At 40.3% G+C, this 20421-nt stretch overlaps 1 long non-coding RNA gene and 1 pseudogene across 1 annotated transcript; one reads left to right on the plus strand and one right to left on the minus strand.

Moving 5' to 3' along the window:
* Nucleotides 1-1086: 1086 nt before the first annotated feature.
* On the minus strand, nucleotides 1087-20125 carry LOC124904870 (uncharacterized). The gene is made up of 3 exons (XR_007067531.1): nucleotides 20057-20125; nucleotides 16460-16554; nucleotides 1087-1476 (listed from the first exon to the last, which is right to left on the minus strand). It is a non-coding gene; the product is annotated as an uncharacterized LOC124904870 (long non-coding RNA).
* PA2G4P2 (proliferation-associated 2G4 pseudogene 2) lies at nucleotides 7220-8733 on the plus strand (annotated as a pseudogene).
* Nucleotides 20126-20421: the final 296 nt, after the last annotated feature.

The following is a 20421-nucleotide window of genomic DNA, read 5'->3' on the forward strand; positions in this document are numbered from 1 at the left end:
AAGAAGAATCCTGGCACAAAAGGCTGTCTATGGTTCATTCTAGAATATGGGAGGAGATTATTTGTCTTGTCTATGGTTCATTCTAGAATATGGGAGATTATTTGTCTTGTCTATGGTTCATTCCAGAATATGGGAAGAGTTTGGCTCTTTTGCCAGACACTTAACAGTGATCCTCAGCTCTAGACACAAATTCCAGCATGGCAGCCGTTCACAAGTTGCAAGGGTAAAGCCAGGAAGAGCCATGCCTACCTTGGCTGTCCCCTGAACAAAGACTGAATATAATGATATGAATTGACTGTGCTCACCACAGTAAAATTCTCTTTTTCTCATTTGAAAATACTCCTTCTGTCAAGTAAAATGACATTCACTTTCAGAGTAGTGCCCCTGAAAGAATTCATAAAGGGAAAATGTTGAGTTAAAGGTGGACCATTGTCAACAAGGTGTGCTTTCTCTTCATTCAAATGAGGAAGACAAGAAACAAATCAGCTATATTCTGCTTCCTCCAGAGCAGCCCAAATGCAGCTATAGCTTGGATTAGAAACGTTTCTTTTAAAACGAGGGGCAAAAAGATGCATTTCCACTTTTTGTCATCTAAAGCTCACAGATGACTATTTTTTTTTTTTTACTATTGACTTAAGTCTCACTTGCTTTTATTTGTCAAGGGTCTTAGGAGTAGTGTATCACAGACCCACCAAGCCTGCTCCTACCTCATGGGATTTGGAACAGCTGTTCCTTCTGACTGAAATGCTCTTCCCTTCGGGCTCATTTCTGCAGAGTTAATTTTCTTACCCCCTTCAAGCCTGTGCTCAAATTTCATTTGCTCAATGAAGCCTACCCTTTTCCTATTGAATTCTGCCTCTCTGCTTCCCTCTGGCATTTAATTACTCTTCATCAGGCTCTACTGTGCACCTTCCTTGGCATTCATTATTTTCTAATATGCCATATAGATTATTTATTTTGCTTATTGTTGATTATCCGTTTCTCCTACACTAGCATGTAAGCTCCTAAAAGACAAGCTGTTCATGTTATTCCTTGTAGTGCATGCCAGTATGTGCTGTTCTGACATCCCCATTGCCTCCCCCTACATCTTTATGACTAAAGCACTCATTCCCCAGCTCCTGGGAATGATGGAAGCTGACAGCTCAAGAGATTCTCTCTCTTGGATCTGCTCTCTGCATAAGAGCTTCATTTTTCCCAATGTCATGCTCTTCCCCAGAAACATTCTATGTCCAGTGACTTGTGGATTCAAAGGTACAAAGGCTCAAATTTGTTACCTCCATTCGGGACAACTCTGAAGGGCATCCAGGTTCCACAGCTCTGTGGTAGGTGAGCTGAGGCCTCTGCTGCAACTGCTCCATGGGCCCGCTTCTCTCTTCTCAGTCTTATTTCCCTTCCTTCCACAGGTGTCAATCCTAACAACATGACCTCCAAACTTCCTGCTCCTCTAACATTTATTTCGGTCTATTTTCTGAACACCTGCAAGAGTATCAGGCAGGACATAGTTGCCTAAGAAATACTGAATGCATGAATGAATGTAAATGCAAAAACAACCTCTTCATACAAAACCTCAGTGTTGATAACCAACATGTCTGTGCATACCTTCTTACAGGTCAGATTGGAATTTTCTGGTGAGACATTTTTCCATTTTTTTTTCACTCAACAATATTTATTAAGCATCTTATGCATCTGGTGAAGATATACCAGTGAATTAAAGGGACAAAATCTCTTCCCCATGAATCTAAGATTCTCACAGTGGAGTCAGAAAATATGCTAATAAAAACTGTATATAATAGGATATCGGTCAGTGACAAGAGCCCTGAGGATGTCATAGAATGATGTTGTGGGAATGACAGTGATATTTGAAACTGGGCAGTCAGGTAGGCCCCTCTGATGAGGTGAGATCAGCTAAGACAAAAATAAAAGGAAGGAGCGAGTTACACATATGTCTGGGTTAAGAATGGTCCATGATGAAACACTCTAACAGCATGTGAAAAGGCCCTGGAGAAGAAAGGTGCTTGGTGTTTTGAGAAAAAAGCAAGGGGGCTGGAATGGAGTGAGCAAAGTGGGGAATAATAGCCAGAGAATATGTGGTGCATTTGGAGCAACAGCCAGTTGCCAGACCAGGCAGGGCCTGTTGAGAAGTTGGCATTTTATTGGGTGATGGGATGATTTTGAAAGGTTTTGAGCAAGAAGGGGGCATGAGCAGACTTCTATTTTTAAAGGAATCCCATCCTCTAACTGCCTGTGGCAGTTTGGGACATGTATCAACATCCTGCAAAATTTCTCCATGGCATATACTGTAGTTGCTCAGTGGAAACTCACAGGACAATGTCCCTTGATGCCACTATTCAGTACTTTTGACTATCACAGAGACCCTAAATACATTGAATTCTGAGTCACTTCTGGATCAACCAACACATTTCCAGAGCCTACCATGTGTCAGGGACAGGCCTTATTTGATCCTCATAATCTTTAGAAGTTGACATTGTGATCTCCTTTTGCAGATGAGAACACTGAGATGCACAGAAGCTGAAGGACTTACCCAAGTTTGCACAGCTAGCGAGTGACACAGATAGTATTGAACTCACATCCTCATTATGTAGCATATATATGTATATAAATATATATAAAATATATATATATTATATATATATATTTTTTAGACGGAGTCACTCTCTGTCACCCAGGCTGGAGTGCAGTGGTGTGATCTCAGCTCACTGCAGCCTCCGCCTCCCAGGTTCAAGTGATTCTCCTGCCTCAGTCTCCTGAGTAGCTGGGATTACAGGTGCACACCACGACACCCGGCTGATTTTTGAGTTTTTACTAGATACTGGGTTTCACTGTGTCAGCCAGGCTGGTCTCGAACTCCTGACCTCAAATGATCCACCTGCCTCGGCCTCCCAAAGTGCTGGGATTACAGGGGTGAGCCACCGTGCCCACCCATATCTTATACTTTTTATACAAAACCTGCCACATATATTTGCTCTCCTCTTTTATAGTCTGAGAAGGAGTAGAAGGTAGTAAGAGAAATGACCATTCATTGTTCACAGTGTTAAGAAACTTAGACACAGCATTTGAATTGGCCCCCAAACAACTTTGTGAGTAGGTATTATGGTCCCCATTTTATAGATGAAGACATTGCGATATAAAACCATGTATTCAATGTGTGTTATATTGACTGGCATCATCAGTACCACCTGGGAGCTTGTTAAAAATGAAGAATCTGGAGTCTAACCAATAAAACAGAAATAATAACAGCTTCTTTATACATTAGTGCTTCCACTTTTCATTGTATCACTGGACAAGAAATTTATGTTCTCTTTACAAATTCAGATTACAATTCAGGTCTACTAACATTTTATTAGCCAAAGCAGGTCACCCAGCCAAGCCCAGCATCAATGCCTGGATACATTCTTTGCCCACAGAAAAAGAGAAAGTAGAGAATAGTTGCTAAATGCTAAAAACAAACTGTCACAGAGGTTATTAATGAATTGTGGCCATTTTCTTAAGCTTTCTTAATGCATACTAAAGGTCTTTGCAACTGTTTTGAGGGTATTCTACCAAATTTAACTGTTTATCAAAGGATCATTTTTTAAACATGTACAATGCCATCTCTGGAAGAAATTCTGACAAGTACAATTTTCTATATCTTCTATCCCCAGACAGGCCTTAGCATAAAGTGGCACCTCAGACAGCTGCCTGGATGGACCACCCATTAATCCGGCCCTGTTCCTATTCTAAGGGAAGATTAAAGGCTCTTGGCCAATAGATTAATGATTGTGCATTAAATCAGTTGGACTCCTAACCACCCTTTTTTCTATGAGGTGTGTTAACTTTTAGAAAATGTATTGAACTATAAACTATCCCCAGTCAAGAAACTGAATATTACCAGAATAATGAAAGCCCTCCTCTAAGTCTCTCTTCCTGTCACTATGCTCCAAAACCGGTATCACTATCTTTACTCTGGTTAACACACATTGGTTTTGCCTTTTTCTGTGCTTTAGATAAAAGGAGTCACAGGCTATGTGCTCTTGTCTTACTTCTTTCACTTAACATGCTTGTGAAATTCATCTATATTTTTGCATGTAGTTGTAGATCGTTACTTCTCATTCCATATAACATTCATTTATCTATATATTTTATATAAGTATGGACAATTTGGAAACTTCTACTAATTTTTAGCCACTAGGACCAGTGCTGCTATGAATATTCTACTATATCTTTTGTTGAACTTATGGACACATTTCCTCTGGGTATACACTTATAAGTAGAATTGCTGGGTGTAGGATTTGTGTATGTTGAGCATTAGTAGATTCTTCCAGCTTGTTTTAAAAGTCTATTTTTAAGTTTAATAAGAGGGTGATGTAGACTTAGTCATAGGTACATGTGGCTACACTTTGCTTATAACTTTGTGATTTTCCACTTTAAACTTAACAAATCTATTTATCTCTGGGCCTAAGCTATTCTTTAGTTGCAAATTAGGCAGTTTTGAAAGCTGCTCTAACTTCTTCAGCTCCCTGGGGCTCTATCCAGTGTATTACTCACAGATTGGTAAGAGATGAAGGTCCTTGCTACCAACATTATCATGCACAGAGAAACTTCCTAACACACAATCACCCAGTATTCCTCTAAGAATTGATAATGTGTCTGGAAAATTACTATTCTTTTAGGGTCCCAATGATGCTGCAGAGAGGGCCAAGCCTTGTTCAAGAGCTCTGCTAATGAGATGAGGCTCTGCCAGGGGAAGAGAGGTACTGCCTCCTTCCTGATGTTTGCATACTCCTCTTTGTCAAGGGAGATAGTCTTAGGCATTAGGATATGGAGGAAAACAGAGCCTTTGGAGGAAGGAGTTAGATAAAGAGAAAGACACACTACTTCTGTCTAAAACCCCTATTTCACCATTCCTTATGGCTCCAAGATAAAGTACATGCCAACGCTGAGAGTCAAAGTTTTTTTTTTTCTCAATGTCTCTCATCAGTTACAAACTATACATTTATCCAAGAGAATCTAGAATAGAGAGAGAACAAATATTGAGTTGGGGGTCACCCTTCAAAGGGCATTATCTGTCAGATGAAGGTTACCAATGGAAATAAAAGACAAGATACACAGAGGAAAACGTCATCACAGCACCTTATATCAGGTTGAGTTTTTATGCTCTTTTCTTGCCGTCTGTTTTTGTTTCTATGTAAGTACAAAAGCCATTTAGAGAGCTTCCTTCACAGAGTGTCCACTATGGTAGAGAAGACGTAGAGAATATGCAGGAAACAGGATGTAAATAGAATACAAATTATGAAGCAGAGTGATTCATAAGAATATAAGAAAGCAAGTGTTTTTGACCTTGCAAATTATTTCAACAGAGAGGTAGCATATTTGGCATTGAAATAGCCCAAAGGCATAGCTATATCTTAAAGTATATGTTTAAAAACATGTGTTTAAATAAACATTTAAGTGCGCCGTTTAATACACCTATTTTATTATGTATGGAAAACAGACTCTCTAGGAGTAGTGGTCAGTGCTCCAGAAGGAATTAGTTGCACACTCAGGTCGGGAAATTAAGGACAGTTAAAGGAACATGTTTACAAGGTTGTGGGCATGATTAAGAGAAACAAACAAGGAATGTGAAGCCTCTGGAGCTAGCAATAGTGAGGGGCTGTTTATCACTCCTAGGATGGAATGGGCTAGGGGAGGAAATAACAACCAGCACCCAGGAGCTGCGGCTGGAGGTAAAGAATTTCAGCCAACTTGCAGTAACCTGGCACAGGGGGAGCCAAATTGCACTTTCCTCCCTCCCTCCAATCTCCCATTGGATGGATCCACCTGAAAGCCGGGAGGCATGGGGCCCACTGATCCGGCCAATGAAGATCTTCCTTGACCTCAGGTGAAAAACAGAGAGATTGGCAAGAGGAGATCCATCCTATGAATAGTCACATTTCTCAAGAAATGAAACAAAGTTCTTCATGTAGATCATGTTTTTTTAAAAAGCATATCTATTTTACTGTTATTATTTAATGTTCATTAAGCACTTCTGGCTCATTAGGCATTCATTAATTAGGATCTAATTCTGCATGCTCCTTTTCCCAGCTATAAAAATCAGCAGGCTTTTTTTTTTCAGCTGCTTTTATCTGACTAAAATAATGGGTTCTTTTTTCAACAAATGGTAGAGGGTTATATAAAAACTCTGAAAAAATACCAACAATCACCTTCAAAAGGTGAACACAAAATTTACGGAAGAATCTATAATTATATTAGGATTTTACAGGGAGAATATTATCTCCCTTCCTAAAGCACCTTCCTAAAGGAGGAGGTATCTCAATGTGCAAAGTGAACCTAATTTCTTATTAAATATAATTTTAAGGGGGAAAGCTGGTGCATAAAAACTCATAAAAAAGAGCAACCCAAACTGGAAACTGGCAATTGTTTAAGGCTCTTTTACAATTATTTAATCTGTGTGTCTTTCCTGACTCTGGGCATTCTGCTCCTTTTGCATGTTTGTAAGCTGAGATGCGTGGGAAATAATAAAATATTATGCACAGCCCACACCCCACATAGAAAGCTTGCTGTTTCTCTGTGGGAAGTTTTAACTTAGGTCAGCTTCACCTAAGAATTATTTTTCTTTCTTTCTTTGAAGAAGGCAGATTCCTGGTCCTGCCACTCAAATTTTCAAAGTGAAAATATTTGGTCTGATTTTCCAATGTATTTCCTTGATGTCAATCAAGTGTCTGAAACATTAGTGATTGTTTTTACCTTGTACAGTGAAGTGAGGTAGCATTTTAATTAGGGAAGAAAAAAACTGACTTATGCTCAAAAGTTCAAAGCTTTTGTGACAGAACTCAGAGATTGAGGCCAGGAAGTCATGATTTGTGAATCAATGATCAGATCATCTGAGCCCTTTGTAGAGAAGTAAAAACTGGCTTCCCCCTATCCTTCTAGGTTTTTTGGTTGGGCTACAAATTAAATTGACATAAGGCAGATTCACAGGAGAAAAAAGAAAATTACATATACAGGCACTGGAGTCCCCAAAAATATGAGACTCAAAGATTGGTCAGATGATTGAAGCTTATATAGATTCCTGAGCTATAGAAAAAAAGTAGGGCTTAGGGCTTCTTGAGGGTGATACCTACACAAGTTAAGAGAGGATGACAAGAAAAAATATATGATGAGTAGAAGTGGTCTTGTTACACAGATACAATTTCTGAGGTAATAAAAGTTGTTTGGGAGAGGAGGCGGCTCAGGAGAAACGAGGCTGCAGTGGTGGTAGTAGGAAGATGTTGGGCAAGGTCCAGCAGCAGGAGCAAACTATCGCCAAGGACCTGGTCGTGACCAAGTATAAGATGTGTGGGGGGACCACATCGCCAACCGGGTACTTCGGTCGTTGGTGGAAGCATCTAGCTCAGGTGTGTCGGTACTGAGCCTGTGCGAGAAAGGAGATGCCATGATTATGGAAGAAACAGGGAAAATCTTCAAGAAAGAAAAGGAAATGAAGAAACGTATTGCTTTTCCCACCAGCATTTCAGTAAATAACTGTGGATGTCACTTCTCCCCTTTGAAGAGAGGCCAGGATTATATTCTCAAGGAAGGTGACTTGGTAAAAATTGACCTTGGGGTCCATGTGGATGGCTTCATCGCTAATGTAACTCATACTTTTGTGGTTGATGTAGCTCAGGGGACCCAAGTAACAGGGAGGAAAGGAGATGTTATTAAGGCAGCTCAACTTTGTGTTGAAGCTGCCTTATGCCTGGTCAAACCTGGAAATCAGAACATACAAGTGAGAGAAGCCTGGAGCAAAGTTGCCCTCTCATTTAACTGCATGCCAATAGAAGGTATGCTGTCACACCAGTTGAAGCAGCATGTCATCGATGGTGAAAAAAACATTATCCAGAATCCTACAGACCAGCAGAAGAAGGACCATGAAAAAGCTGAATTTGAGGTACATGAAGTATATGCTGCGGATGTTCTCGTCAGCTCAGGAGAGGGCAAGGCCAAGGATGCAGGACAGAGAACCACTATTTAGAAACGAGACTCCTCTAAACAGTATGGACTGAAGAGGAAAACTTCACGTGCCTTCTTCAGTGAGGTGGAAAGGCATTTTGATGCCATGCCGTTTACTTTAAGAGCATTTGAAGATGAGAAGAAGGCTCCGATGGATGTGGTGGAGTGCACCAAACATAGACTGCTGCAACCGTTTAATGTTCTCTATGAGAAGGAGGGCGAATTTGTTGCCCAGTTTAAATTTACAATTCTGCTCATGCCCAATGGCCCCATGCAGAAAACCAGTGGTCCCTTCAAGCCTGACCTCTACAGGTCTGAGATGGAGGTCCAGGATGCAGAGCTAAAGGCCCTCCTCTAGAGTTCTGCAAGTCGAGAAACCCAGAAAAAGAAAAGAAAAGAAAAGAAAAAAGGCCTCCAAGACTGCGGAGAATGCCACCAGTGGGGAAACATTAGAAGAAAGTGAAGCTGGGGACTGAGGTGGGTCCCATCTCCCCAGCTTGCTACTTCTGCTCCATCCCCTTCCCACCATACCCCAGACTTTGAGAAGTACAGTTCTTCTTCTCCACCTAGGACCCGCAGCAGAGCAGGGGTCTCCCTTTCTCCCCCATCCCAGTTCCCCAACCCACTCCCTTCCAACAACAACCAGCTCCAGCTGACTCTGGTCTTGGGAGGTGAGGCTTCCCAACCACAGAAGACTACTTTAAATGAAAAAAAGAAACCAAATAATAAAATCAGGAGTCAAAAAAAAAAGTTGTCTGGGAGCAGCCCTCAGATAATTGTTAATAGTCTGTCTGGGCATGAGTCAACCTCCAGTCTCCTGTCTTGTAATTTCAGTTCATCTTCCCTGGTTGATAAGATTACAGGGGAAGGGATTCATGACAATTGAGTCTCTTTTGAAGAATGTCTTCCTTAGGCAGATAAAGGAAGTTCAGTAAAGCCCTTCTTTTGCATTTGCTGTTCCCCAAATGCACTTGATATGTTGCTGTTCCTCAAATGCCCATTGGTATGTTGAAATAATCAGCATACCAAAGCAATAGATGTTGGGGTGGCTAAACTTCCTCACAGTTTTGGAGTTCCACTGGTTAAAAAAAGCTAGTTCTGGCTGGGTGCGATGGCTCATGCCTGTAATCTCAACACTTTGGGAGGTCGGGGCAGGTGGAACACTTGGGAGTCAGGAGTTCAAGACCAGCCTGACCAACATGGTGAAACCCCATCTCTACTGAAATTACAAAAATTAGCTGGGCGTGGTGGTAGTTGCCTGTAATCCCAGCTACTCGGGAGGCTGAGGCAGGAGAATCACTTGAACCCAGGAGATGGAGGTTGCAGTGAGCCGAGATCGTGGTATTGCACTCCAGCCTGGGCGACAGAGAGAGACTGTGTCTCAAAAAAACAAAAACAAAAACAAAAACAAAAACAAAAACTAGCTCGAAGGAGCTTATAATACTGCTCACAGCTAAAGATAATACTGAAAGTGGTTGGGGATGGTGACTCATGCCTGTAATTCCAGCACTTTGGGAGGGTGAGGCAGGTGGATCACTTGATGTCAGGAGTTTGAGACCAGACTGACCAACATGGTGAAATGCCATCTTTACTAAAAATACAAAAATTAGCTGGGCATGGTGGCAGGTGCCTGGAGGCTGAGGCAGGAGAATTGCTTGAACCTGGGAGGTGGAGGCTGCAGTAAGCCAAGACAGCGCCACTGCACTCCAGTCTGAGTGACAAGAACAAGACTCCATTTATAAAAGAGAAAATACTAAAAGTTAACCCTGAAATTGTTAGTGACTTTGATGCACTGTTTCAGCTCTAGAAAAGTTTTTACCCCACAGAGACAATGGCTACAGAAAAAATAAATGCTGGGCTCAGTTACCTCAGGGGACCTGGCAGATGACCGTAGTTAAGAGAGGGAGATCAGATGTTTTATCCAGGGAATTGTATTGGAGAAAGAGGGGCTGAAAAATGGGATTGAAGTTTGTGTCCAGGTAGAAGCTCTTTCTCCTTTATGCTTTATGTCCAGAGCCTGCTTGGACCCCATGAAGCAGGCTAGAGGCTTGAGTGAGAACATCATTCCTGACTGAAGCCAGAGCAATATGCCGGGCCTCTCACATATATTTTTATCCTGGACACTTTTCCCCAATGATATGCCCTGGACTTTTCTTTCAAATTAAATTGCCCTCTTTTAGCCTTGACCAAAAGTGAGAATCTGGGCCCTTGACAGATATATTGCTATTAATTTTTTTTTGGAGATGTAGCCTAGCAAGGAGGGGCCTCATCTTCTGAGGAAACCTTAGCATTGATGAGTACTGACTGAGAGGATTGGCAAGGTTCACTCAGATGAACGAGATAGGGTGAGAAATCCACTCACAAGTGGATTTAACCCAGGCCTTCTGCAGTTATCGGGGCATGTGATATCAAACAATAGAATGAGCAATTTATGGGTGACTGAAGTATTAGCATTGTCAATATTATTTTCAGTTGTTATCATGGTTGTACAGTTCTTACTAGCTTCTTTAGACCAATGGTATTTAAACTTTAGTGTACACCATCATCGCTTGGAGAGCTAGTAATCCTGAAGATTCAAGAGCTCCACTTCCAGTGATTTGGTCTTGAGCAAAATCTGGGAATTTGCATTTTAACAAGCTCTTGGGCGATGCCATTGTGCTGGTTGTGAGCCACAGTTTGAGGAGCACTGAGGCACTCATCTGCTGACCACTGGTTGGGCCCGGCGGTCTGTTTTAAAAAGCATCCAGGTGATAACCAATTCTCACTAAAGTTTGAGAAGAGCTGTTTAAAACCACTGGTTCGCAGACTTAACTAAACATTGGACCCACATGAGCAGTTGCTTAAAGAATGCCAATGCCTGGGTCTCACTCGGCTGATTCTGATGAAATTGGAGTGGGAAGCAGCCTGACATGGGGATTATTTGAAGCTCCCAAGATCACTGTAATGGGCAGCCAAGGTTGAAAACCATTTGTAGACCATACCTTCATTCCTGCATTGCAAGACTACACGATCTGCAATTTGTACTTTCCAGTATGTCACTATGGTAGAAAAAGAGATGGGTAAAATTCTAGCATCTGAAAGGAAATAATCTTTGCCAGGCTTGCATGAATTTGATCCTAGCTTATCTTACATATTGTACAGACTGTGAGTAATGAAGGGCTCAATTTGAAAGAGCTGGGAGTGAGTCAGCCGGAAGAGGTAGAAATTTGGGCAAAAGAGCAAGTTCTATAAATCTGTAGAAGTGAAACCCATTTAGTTACCTCCAAAGGGCCAAATGTGCTGTTTAAAATGCTCCAATAGAGCATTGAATTTCACAGCTGTCTGTAGCTTTGAGGCCAAATTCTCATTCCCTAAAGTTAGAAAACAGAAGTAGGAGCAGTACCAAAAAGCCACACATACTACTGAGATATTAATTAAGCCCCAAAGACTTCAAGGACCCCTGTCTGGTCTTCCTAAATGCACTATTTTTTGCCAACGGATGCAAACAGATTTCTCTTGACCTTCCCCATACTTGACCCAGATCTCTAAGTCTAAATATTATCACCATAAGAAGATGTCAACATTTTAAGTTCCAGATAATAGATTCCTGGGAAATGAACCCACATATTTTTGTTATTTCCCCAAGATCTTGAAATTTTTTCTGTTTTTATTAAAGTCTCTTATAGGAATGTATTAAACAATAACAACAAAAAATCCCAACAAAACAAAACAAAAACTAAGCTAGATTCCTGTCCGGAAATCCAGCAAACGTTTTAGGCAGGAAATGTAGGTATTTTGCCAAGTCAAAGCAGTGGATGGAGAGTCAGAAACACAGGATCCTTGTCCTGGTTTTGTACCTTACTATGTGACCTTGAGAAGGTTGTGCAACTCCTCTGAGCCTCATTTTCACATGTGTCAAATGGCAATGATGTCTCAGGATCCCTTTCTACTTTAACATAAAAGAATCGTGGTAGGACATGGGAATCTGAAGAATTATTATTATTATTTGTTTTTTTGAGACGGAGTCTCGTTCTGTTGCCCAGGCTGGAGTGCAGTGGCCTGATCTCGGCTCACTGCAAGCTGCACCTCTCGGGTTCACGCCATTCTCCTGCCTCAGCCTCTTGAGTAGCTGGAACTACAGGCGCCCACCGCCACGCCCGGCTAATTTTTTGTATTTTTAGTAGAGAGGGGGTTTCACCTTGTTAGCCAGAATGGTCTCAATCTCCTGACCTCTTGATCAGCCCGCCTCGGCCTCCCAAAGTGCTGGGATTACAGGCGTGAGCCACCGTGCCCGGCCCTGAAGAATTCTTTATGATTGCAATGCATTGCAAATCTCTTGTGTTTGGTTGCAAACTTTCAACTGAAACACTGAGTGAATTGTTGCCTCTGCAATGACAAAATTTTGGTGGTGCCCCCTCCTCCTTTCTTTCCTGCTGTATAAGGGCTGTCCTTTTTCATTGATATGATTTAAGAGACTGGAAAAAGTAAACTATTCTTCAATTCATTCCTCTTAAAGTGATAGAAGACACGATTTTTCCTATGATCTGCTTTCAAATCACTCTCACCGGCTGTGAATCTCCTCTTGACGGCTGTGAATCTCCTCTTGACACAAAGTTATCAGCTGAAGATTTCTCCCTCAGTTGGTTTATACTTAGCCACCCTTTTGAAATGAGGTTCCATTTACTTTATTGGTTCTAGGAAAATGCAGGCATTTTAAGGCCCATTTTTGCTTCTTCCTGATTGGAATGGAAGGGGAGGAGGGGCAGGGACAGCTTCTCTAATTTGCTGGTGAACTGAAAAATACTCCAAAGACCCTTTTTCAGTCTTCCTGAGTAGATTTGCCTTTGCCAAAGGATACAAATACACTTATTTTAACTTTGCCAGCCATTGTGTCAATGTCTAATTTTGGACCATATTAACAAAAAAAAGTTGACAAAATTTAAGTCATTGAGGGAGACAGATCCAGCCAAAGCTGGCATTGGCATTAATGATGGACATTGATAGTGATTGGATTAATTTTAAGTGGTTGTATGGAAGGAGTTACTTATATTAACTAAGAAGGTGCCAAAGGGAAGAAAGCAAAGCAGGAAGAAGACAGAGTTCTGGAATTCAAGAAATCTTGGCTTGAGTTTTCATCATCAATTAACCAGCTATGAGTATTTGGAACAATTTCTCAATGGCTTAATGTGTAAAATGGACCTAGACCCGTGCTGTTTGAACTTTAATGTGCATTTGAATTTTCTGGGATGTGTTTAAAATGTAAACTCTAAAGTAGGTCTGTGGGTGAAGCCTGAGATCCTGCACTTGTAACATCTTTTAGGTGATTCAGATGCTACGAGTCAGAGGACCACACTCTGAGTAGTGTCCTCAGTGGATAATTCTTCTCATGCTACCTTCCAGATCTAGAAGTAAGCAGATAACTAAGTAAGTAAAGAAATAACACTCTTAAACTATTCTGAAGAGCTCTATTAGGAAAGATACTGAAGTCCAAATTTTATAAATTAGCATGTGAATGTGAAATGGTACCTAAGTGGATTCTTTACAATTTCACACCCACTGCAGGAAAAAATGTCAACCACAGAAGTAAGATCTGTTGGAGAAATAGGCCTCCTGGTTATTTTTCCAAATTATTGTTCTTTGCTTATTGGATACCTCCTAATCTCACTTTAAAATTACCCAGAAGAAACCTGTAACGAAGGTTTCTCATTTTGTCTATCAGCCAGAGAATTATGCTTTTTAAGTTTTTCTTAAATGTATGGTACATAAACAATTGGTTTTGTTACTAATAATTTTTTAAATTGTCAACCTAGTAATTTTCTTTTAAACTATTTGTATTGTAGCATAAATTACTAATTTTCATCCTAAGACTGAATCTACATTTCAGCTAGTTACACAGACTATTAATGTATATTTGCATGCTACTGATGAGAAACTCTCCATTGAAATCCTAACCAGAATTAATGTAGACAAATCAAAAAGCCTTCGTAGTTTGATGTGTGTGGGTTGGTTTGTACACCCCAAGACACACTTATAACATTAATAAACATGATGGTTAGAATATAAGTATGAATATAAATTTGGCTTTCTGCTATTTTATGTTTAACTGGTTAGTTTTTATGAGGTTTCAGAGCATTCAGGTTTTCACTCAGAAACGTAGTCACTTGTGACAGGATGCATCTTTCTGGCAGTAACAGCCAGAACAAGCTGCCCAGCTCTCCTTCTGAGGAAGTCATTTTCAGGTTTCATTCCCCAAAGACTAAACCAGCAGCAAAGTCAAAGATGTGGCTTCCTTGCAGTGTATGCTTCGGCCACTCTCACTTTGATGAAATAGAAAGAGGTGAACAGGGCAGCCGTGCTTCTATTTCACACAAGAAAACAGAAAAGTAGAGGAGAGAATTTTATTTACAGTGAACATCAATGCCTCCTGTTAAGTGTCAAAAAAGTTTCTTCATAGAATATGAATCTTTTGAAGATACTTAAAAAAACAACTTTACTTCTTCCTCACAGGATAAAATAGAAAACATTCTTAGGGTTTTTGTCATAAGTACTATATTATAATAATCCTACTAAAATTTAAGCTAACATGAATTTCTATATGGTACCATATTAATAATAAAAGCAGTGAATTTGGCATCAGAAAACATTGAATTGAAACCTGACTTTGAACCAGTCAGGGTTCTCTGGGACTCAATGTTTTTTACTTCAAAATATTGGTTTCGGTATTCACTAAGGTCCTACCAGCCCTGAAGTTCTTTGATCAGTTTTTCAATGATGTTTTAGTGTTCTAATGTTTATTTAAAAATTTCAAAATATGCTTACTGCTCTTCTTCACATATGTTGTTTTTCACATTTAACATTTTTCATAACTGGGCTATTCCCTTGATAAAAGTCCAGTATGTAGTTTCCTGTTTGATATTAGGGCCTCAGAACTGAATACAATTATTTTGGTCCAGGATACAGAAGAGGGCTCCAGGAGCGTAGACAGATGGGCCAAGGTAATGTGAGTGTGCTCTTTCTAGCTGGTATCTTGGTGAGTGAGTTTGTCTTGTTAGAAAGCTATGCTCTTGGGAGAGGAGTTTCAAACTGACCATGGATAATTGCTTTGTAAGAGCCATTTTCAGATGGTTAGCCATTGGCTCACAGAGGTGCTCAGTGAGAAAATGAGGTCAGTGGTATGTTGGGGCTGACTCAGCTCCTATAGCCCTGCAAGGTCAATCATGCGCCTCTACTTAACCCCATATTCAGTGACTTCGTATCTGTGGCTTGGAATTGATTACAACGGGTATATTTACATCTTGGAACTAGCAAATGTTACAAATCAGGATCCTTATTGTAGTCAGTTGTTAACAATTTACAAATACTACAACTGGGTATCTCACAACCAACACACACATTCAGAATTTTGAAGTGTCTTTTCATCAAGGCAAAGAATGGGACTAGAACTTCCCTCTCCCAAATGTCCATCTTTTATGATTTATTCCCCAATCTAGGATGTCTACACAATTAATTTTTTTAAGTGTGTAAAGTGTACTATTTTTATAATTATATATTTATATTTTATAATTATTAAAGGATTACACATTTGTAATACATTAAAATGAATTATAAATGGAAGAGACAAAATAATCATCCATATTTACATAATCCAAATTATTACTATTAGTAATATTATTAGTAGTATATTACTATCAGTAAAATTTTTCCTATAAGCGATCCTGTGAAAATTGAATACAGGTAATTTGCTTAACCTATGACTCTTCCACGACTTAGGTTTCTTCCCAATTTGCTATTATAAATAATACTGTGGTGAGCAACTTGATACAACTTAAATAGCATAGAAAGGCTGTGAAGAGGAAATATAAAATGTTTGTTTGAGACTTGAACCTCTTGAATTGTTGACAAAGTAGGGGAGAAGATGGCATGAACAGTTTAATCATGGCCGAGAAAAATTCAGCTGTCCACAGAGCAGTTTGGAGAACCTGGTGATTTATTGAAGTCCTCTAAATACCAACTGAATGGTGTATGTGGGTGTGTTGCGATGTTCTGCCAGGTGGTTTTGAAAAGAGCTTTCCAAGGTTTAAATCAACCCTATCATCAGAATCAGAGCAAATGCCAGCTATTTTTTTCATACCCTAATTCTGGACCTGATTGGGAACACCTGTTAGGAATATTGTTCATTTGATGCATATTGAGTCAAGCAACATGGTCACAAAGAGTTTGGTAACAGCAAAGGTAGAGCCTTGTGTTGGTGGGTGAGGCAAAAACTTTCTGTGAAGCCTTGTTTGCCAAATCCACCTCCAGATTCCTGGGCCAGCGTGTTCCTGAACCTACCGCCGAGGCAGCACAGCTATCTGGTACATTGTGTTCCCTGATAGCTGTGCTTTGAATGGATTTGTGTGCATCTCCACCTGCTCTGTTCACCCAAGTAAAGGTTCTGTTGCTGAATGCACTGGTTCTGAATTTATTAAATTCTTCATTTAATTTGACTTACCACACATTTAATGTGCAGGTGTCCACTGCAAGGTAGGCTTCTGTGGTTGTTTAGAAAGTTGAGCAGACACTGCCCACATTTTTGAGACTGGCAGTCTAACAGAGGGCGATAAGAGGTATTAAAATGCCCTGAGTAGAAGGTACATGGGATGGAGGCTATCATAAGAATTACCACTATGATACGAGAACAGAGGGAAAAAAGAGAGAAATCTGAGAGAGGAGATGTAAAACAATGCCTTCATCAGAGTAGTGGCATGGGTAATTTTTCAACTTGTGAACACAGAATAAAGAAATGCTAGGGACAGTGAGTTTCATGAACAAACAGGAAGCTAATAACAATTGCTCATTCCTAAGATCTATTTTTTACTCACAACACTTCTGACACCAAATGTGTGGGTTTTCCACACCAAGCAATTCTCTTGCAGATACCAACTGTTTCCTACACTTTTATTTAATTCTGACCCTAATTACCTGGAGTTAGTACAGATCCGACATGTTAAGGGCTCAGTCCCACAAGATTGCCCTCCTGCTTCTGACCAATTATAAGTAGTGGATCCTTAGGTTACCCGCACTTCTAACTTGGCCAGACGTTGTGGGTTCCCACAACCCCCTCCTCAGGCTTTATAATTTGCTACAACAGCTCACATAACTCAGGGCAACGCCTATGTTTGCCAGTTTAGTATAAAGGATATTAAAAAGGGTTGGCAGATGACAAGGTACATAGGGTGGGGAAGGGTCCCTCAATGCAGAAATTTCTGTCCATGTTGAGTGGGGGTGCACTACCCTCCCAGCGCACGAAACCAGAAGCTCATCAAATCTTATTGTTTAAGAGTTTTCTTAGAACTTAATCACCAGCTCCCCCATCATTCCCAGAGGTGGGCAGGTGGGGATGAAAGTTTTAGTCTTCTAATCACTTGGTCTTCCTTGTAGCCAGCCCCATCCTGAGACTATCTAGAGTACCTGCCATAAGTCACCTCATTATTGTAAACTCAGGTGTGATCAAAAGGAGCTCCTTATGAATAATAATAAACATTCCTATCATTCAGAAAATTCCCAGGGTTTTAAGAGTTCTGTGCCAAAACAAGGGGCAAGGACTAAATATATTTCTTATGACATCACACTTATAATGTTACGGTGCTTCTTGATAAAGAGCTTTCACATATGTTATCACAGTTAAGTTAGGAATAGAAACATGCTGAATTGGCTGAGCTTAGGTTTGAGGGACAAAGGTGGAACTGTTTCTGGGACAGTTCGTTGTTGCTACACCACAGATGATATGCTAATTTGGATTTTCTCAAGAGCAGATCTCAAGATAAAGATTTTAAGTAGTCTATTTGGGAAATAATCCCAGGAAGTAGGGTGAGGGAACTGGGGAGCGAGGCAGGGAAGGAAGGAAAAGCAACCAAAGAAACCTGAGTTAGCAGATGACTCCTAGGGCTAGGACAAGTGTGAGGAGAGGGAAGCTCACCCAGGTTGCTGAATTTATGGGAGTTTCAAACACTCAGTAGTCAATACAGACAATATTGTAATATAATATTTTAAACCATCAAAATTAACACAAAAATCCATGATACACACATTATTAAAATTTTAAATAAGGACAGGATCTAACAATACTGCATTGGGCCATATAGGAGCCTGAGGAAAAAGACAACAATATGCAAGAATACCTTTCTTTGTATTTTTAAAATGGGGAATTTTTTTCCAGAACATTTAAGTACCTGAAAAATGTAAAATTTAAAAGTAGAAGTATTAAAACTCACATCATTATTTTAAATTTAAACATTGTATTTATATCAAAAACATTTAGCTATACTTTTACTTTATTGGTTTCCATGGAAGCAAACACTAATAGTATTTTTATTAAAACCATTAGCCATTTAAAAATACATAAAAACAAGTACACAGAAGCATACATATTTCCTTTTGCCTCAGGCTTCAGTACGGCATACATGGCACTGGTTACCACTGTGGACTTAAAATGCTGGGGATCCTCTGAGAATTGTCCTACTGAGAAGGTAGGAAATTTAGGCTCATTGTTTAGAGCTTTTCCTGTGGGTGTTGACTCTGGCACTCCCCACCATGCCCACAGTGGGGAGGCCAAGACCTGTTGGAAAGGCACTATCATTGTCTGCTGTTGAGGGCTTGATGAACATTCAAGAACCACAGGCTTTTACAATGAACCCTGTGGAAGCCCCAAGGGTTTTGAAGAAGGTGTGGGACAATGATCAAAACTCCACTTTAGAAACATTTTTATGGAGCCAGACACAATGACTCACTCCTGTAATCCCAGCAACTTGGGAAGCAGAGGTGAGAGAATTGCTCGAGGCAGGAGTTTGAGACTAGCCTGGGCAATATTTTGAGACCCTATCTCAATAAAAAAAAAATAAATAACTTAAAAATATTGTAATGCATTCACTATGTATAGTGGGTTGGGGAATGAGAGAAGCTGAAAGCAGGAAGGGTGATTTAGAAGCAACTGCAATGCCTTGGTTGGGAGAAAATGTGGGCCTGAGCTAGGAGTGTGTCTATAGAGCCAGAAAGAAAAGAGAAGGGGAAAAAAACAGAGCAGGACTTGAGTCATTGTGTTCTGGCCACCAAATGAATGTATTAGGCCAAAAGAAAGGAAGATGTACAGATGAGGCTGCTGTTCCTCATCAATGGCTGAGATAATGGTGGTTTTGTTTTTAGAGATGAGCGCTTGAGAGAAAGGGCAGATTTGGTGAGAGAAAGGTTTGGGTTGCAGTCAGTGGAGAGAATTTCAGGTTGGACTCACATGTCCATGGAGACAAAAGATTTGGAGGGCCAGAAAATTGCAGAACTCTTTTTGCCTAGGTTGATGTTCATGGTATAACAGTTGTGGAATATTTACAGTTTTGAAGGAGCTTGATCCCCGCCCCCATACCTCAAGTCAATGGGAAGCCATGGGGTTTTGTGGAATAAAAGGCTGTGGTTTCCATATTGGACACCATGAGAAATGGTAGCAGAGGCAGAGTGAAAGTGGATATTAGATTGGAGGCTGCTGCAGGAGTCCTGGTAAATAAGGATGGTGGTTTGGACATTTATGGGTGTATGTCATCTCACATTGGCCACTGGCCTTCTGGAATATTTACATTACTATGTTCATGAGACATCCAAGTGGGGAGGTGTTTTAGGCATTTGAAACCGCTTGTTTTAGTTCAAGAGAACATTGGTGCAAAGTACAAAATTTTGAGAAAATGACATAATCTGTGGCACCATTACCTAGAGGCAGTGGATACAGATGTGATTCAGGAAATAGAGTAGAAAATATAGCACAGAATCTCAGACAAGACTATTGTGAGTTGAATTGTGTTTCCCTCAAAATATGTCAAAGTCCTAACCTCCAGTACCTCAGAATACAATCTCATTTGGAAATAAGATCATTGAAGATGTAATTAGTTAAGATGTGGTCATTCTGGAGTGGAATGGGCCCTTTATCCAATGGAACTGGTGTCATTATAAGAAGAGGAAATGTGGACATAGCACAGACCCACGAAAAGATAATATCAAGTAGCAACAGAGGCAGAGATGGAAGCAATGCAGCTAACAGTTAAGGAACACCAAGGATCGAGCCTACCAGCGGAAGCCAGGAAGAGGCAAGGAAGGATTCTCCACAGAGTCTCAGATGGAGCGTGGCTCTGCTAACACCGTGATTTCAGACTTCTGGCCTCCGCAACTGAGAGAGACAAATGTCCGTTGTTTTCAGCCACCCTGTTTGTGGTACTTGGTTATGGCAGTTCTAGGAAACTAATACAAAGATCTTATTTTAGAGGTGAGAGAAAATGTAAATGAATAAAATCAAGAAGGACTGGTGAGAAACACAAAAAAATAAGCTGGAATGTATAATACAGCAACCACAAAAATTAAGTGTTTTAAGAAAAAGGTGTTGAGGAGGGTAAATTTACTTGAGCAGTGAAGGAGAAGAATTGAGCCAAGGCTCTG

Source organism: Homo sapiens, chromosome 20 (genome assembly GCF_000001405.40).
Source record: "Homo sapiens chromosome 20, GRCh38.p14 Primary Assembly".
Classification (NCBI taxonomy): Eukaryota; Metazoa; Chordata; class Mammalia; order Primates; family Hominidae; genus Homo; species Homo sapiens.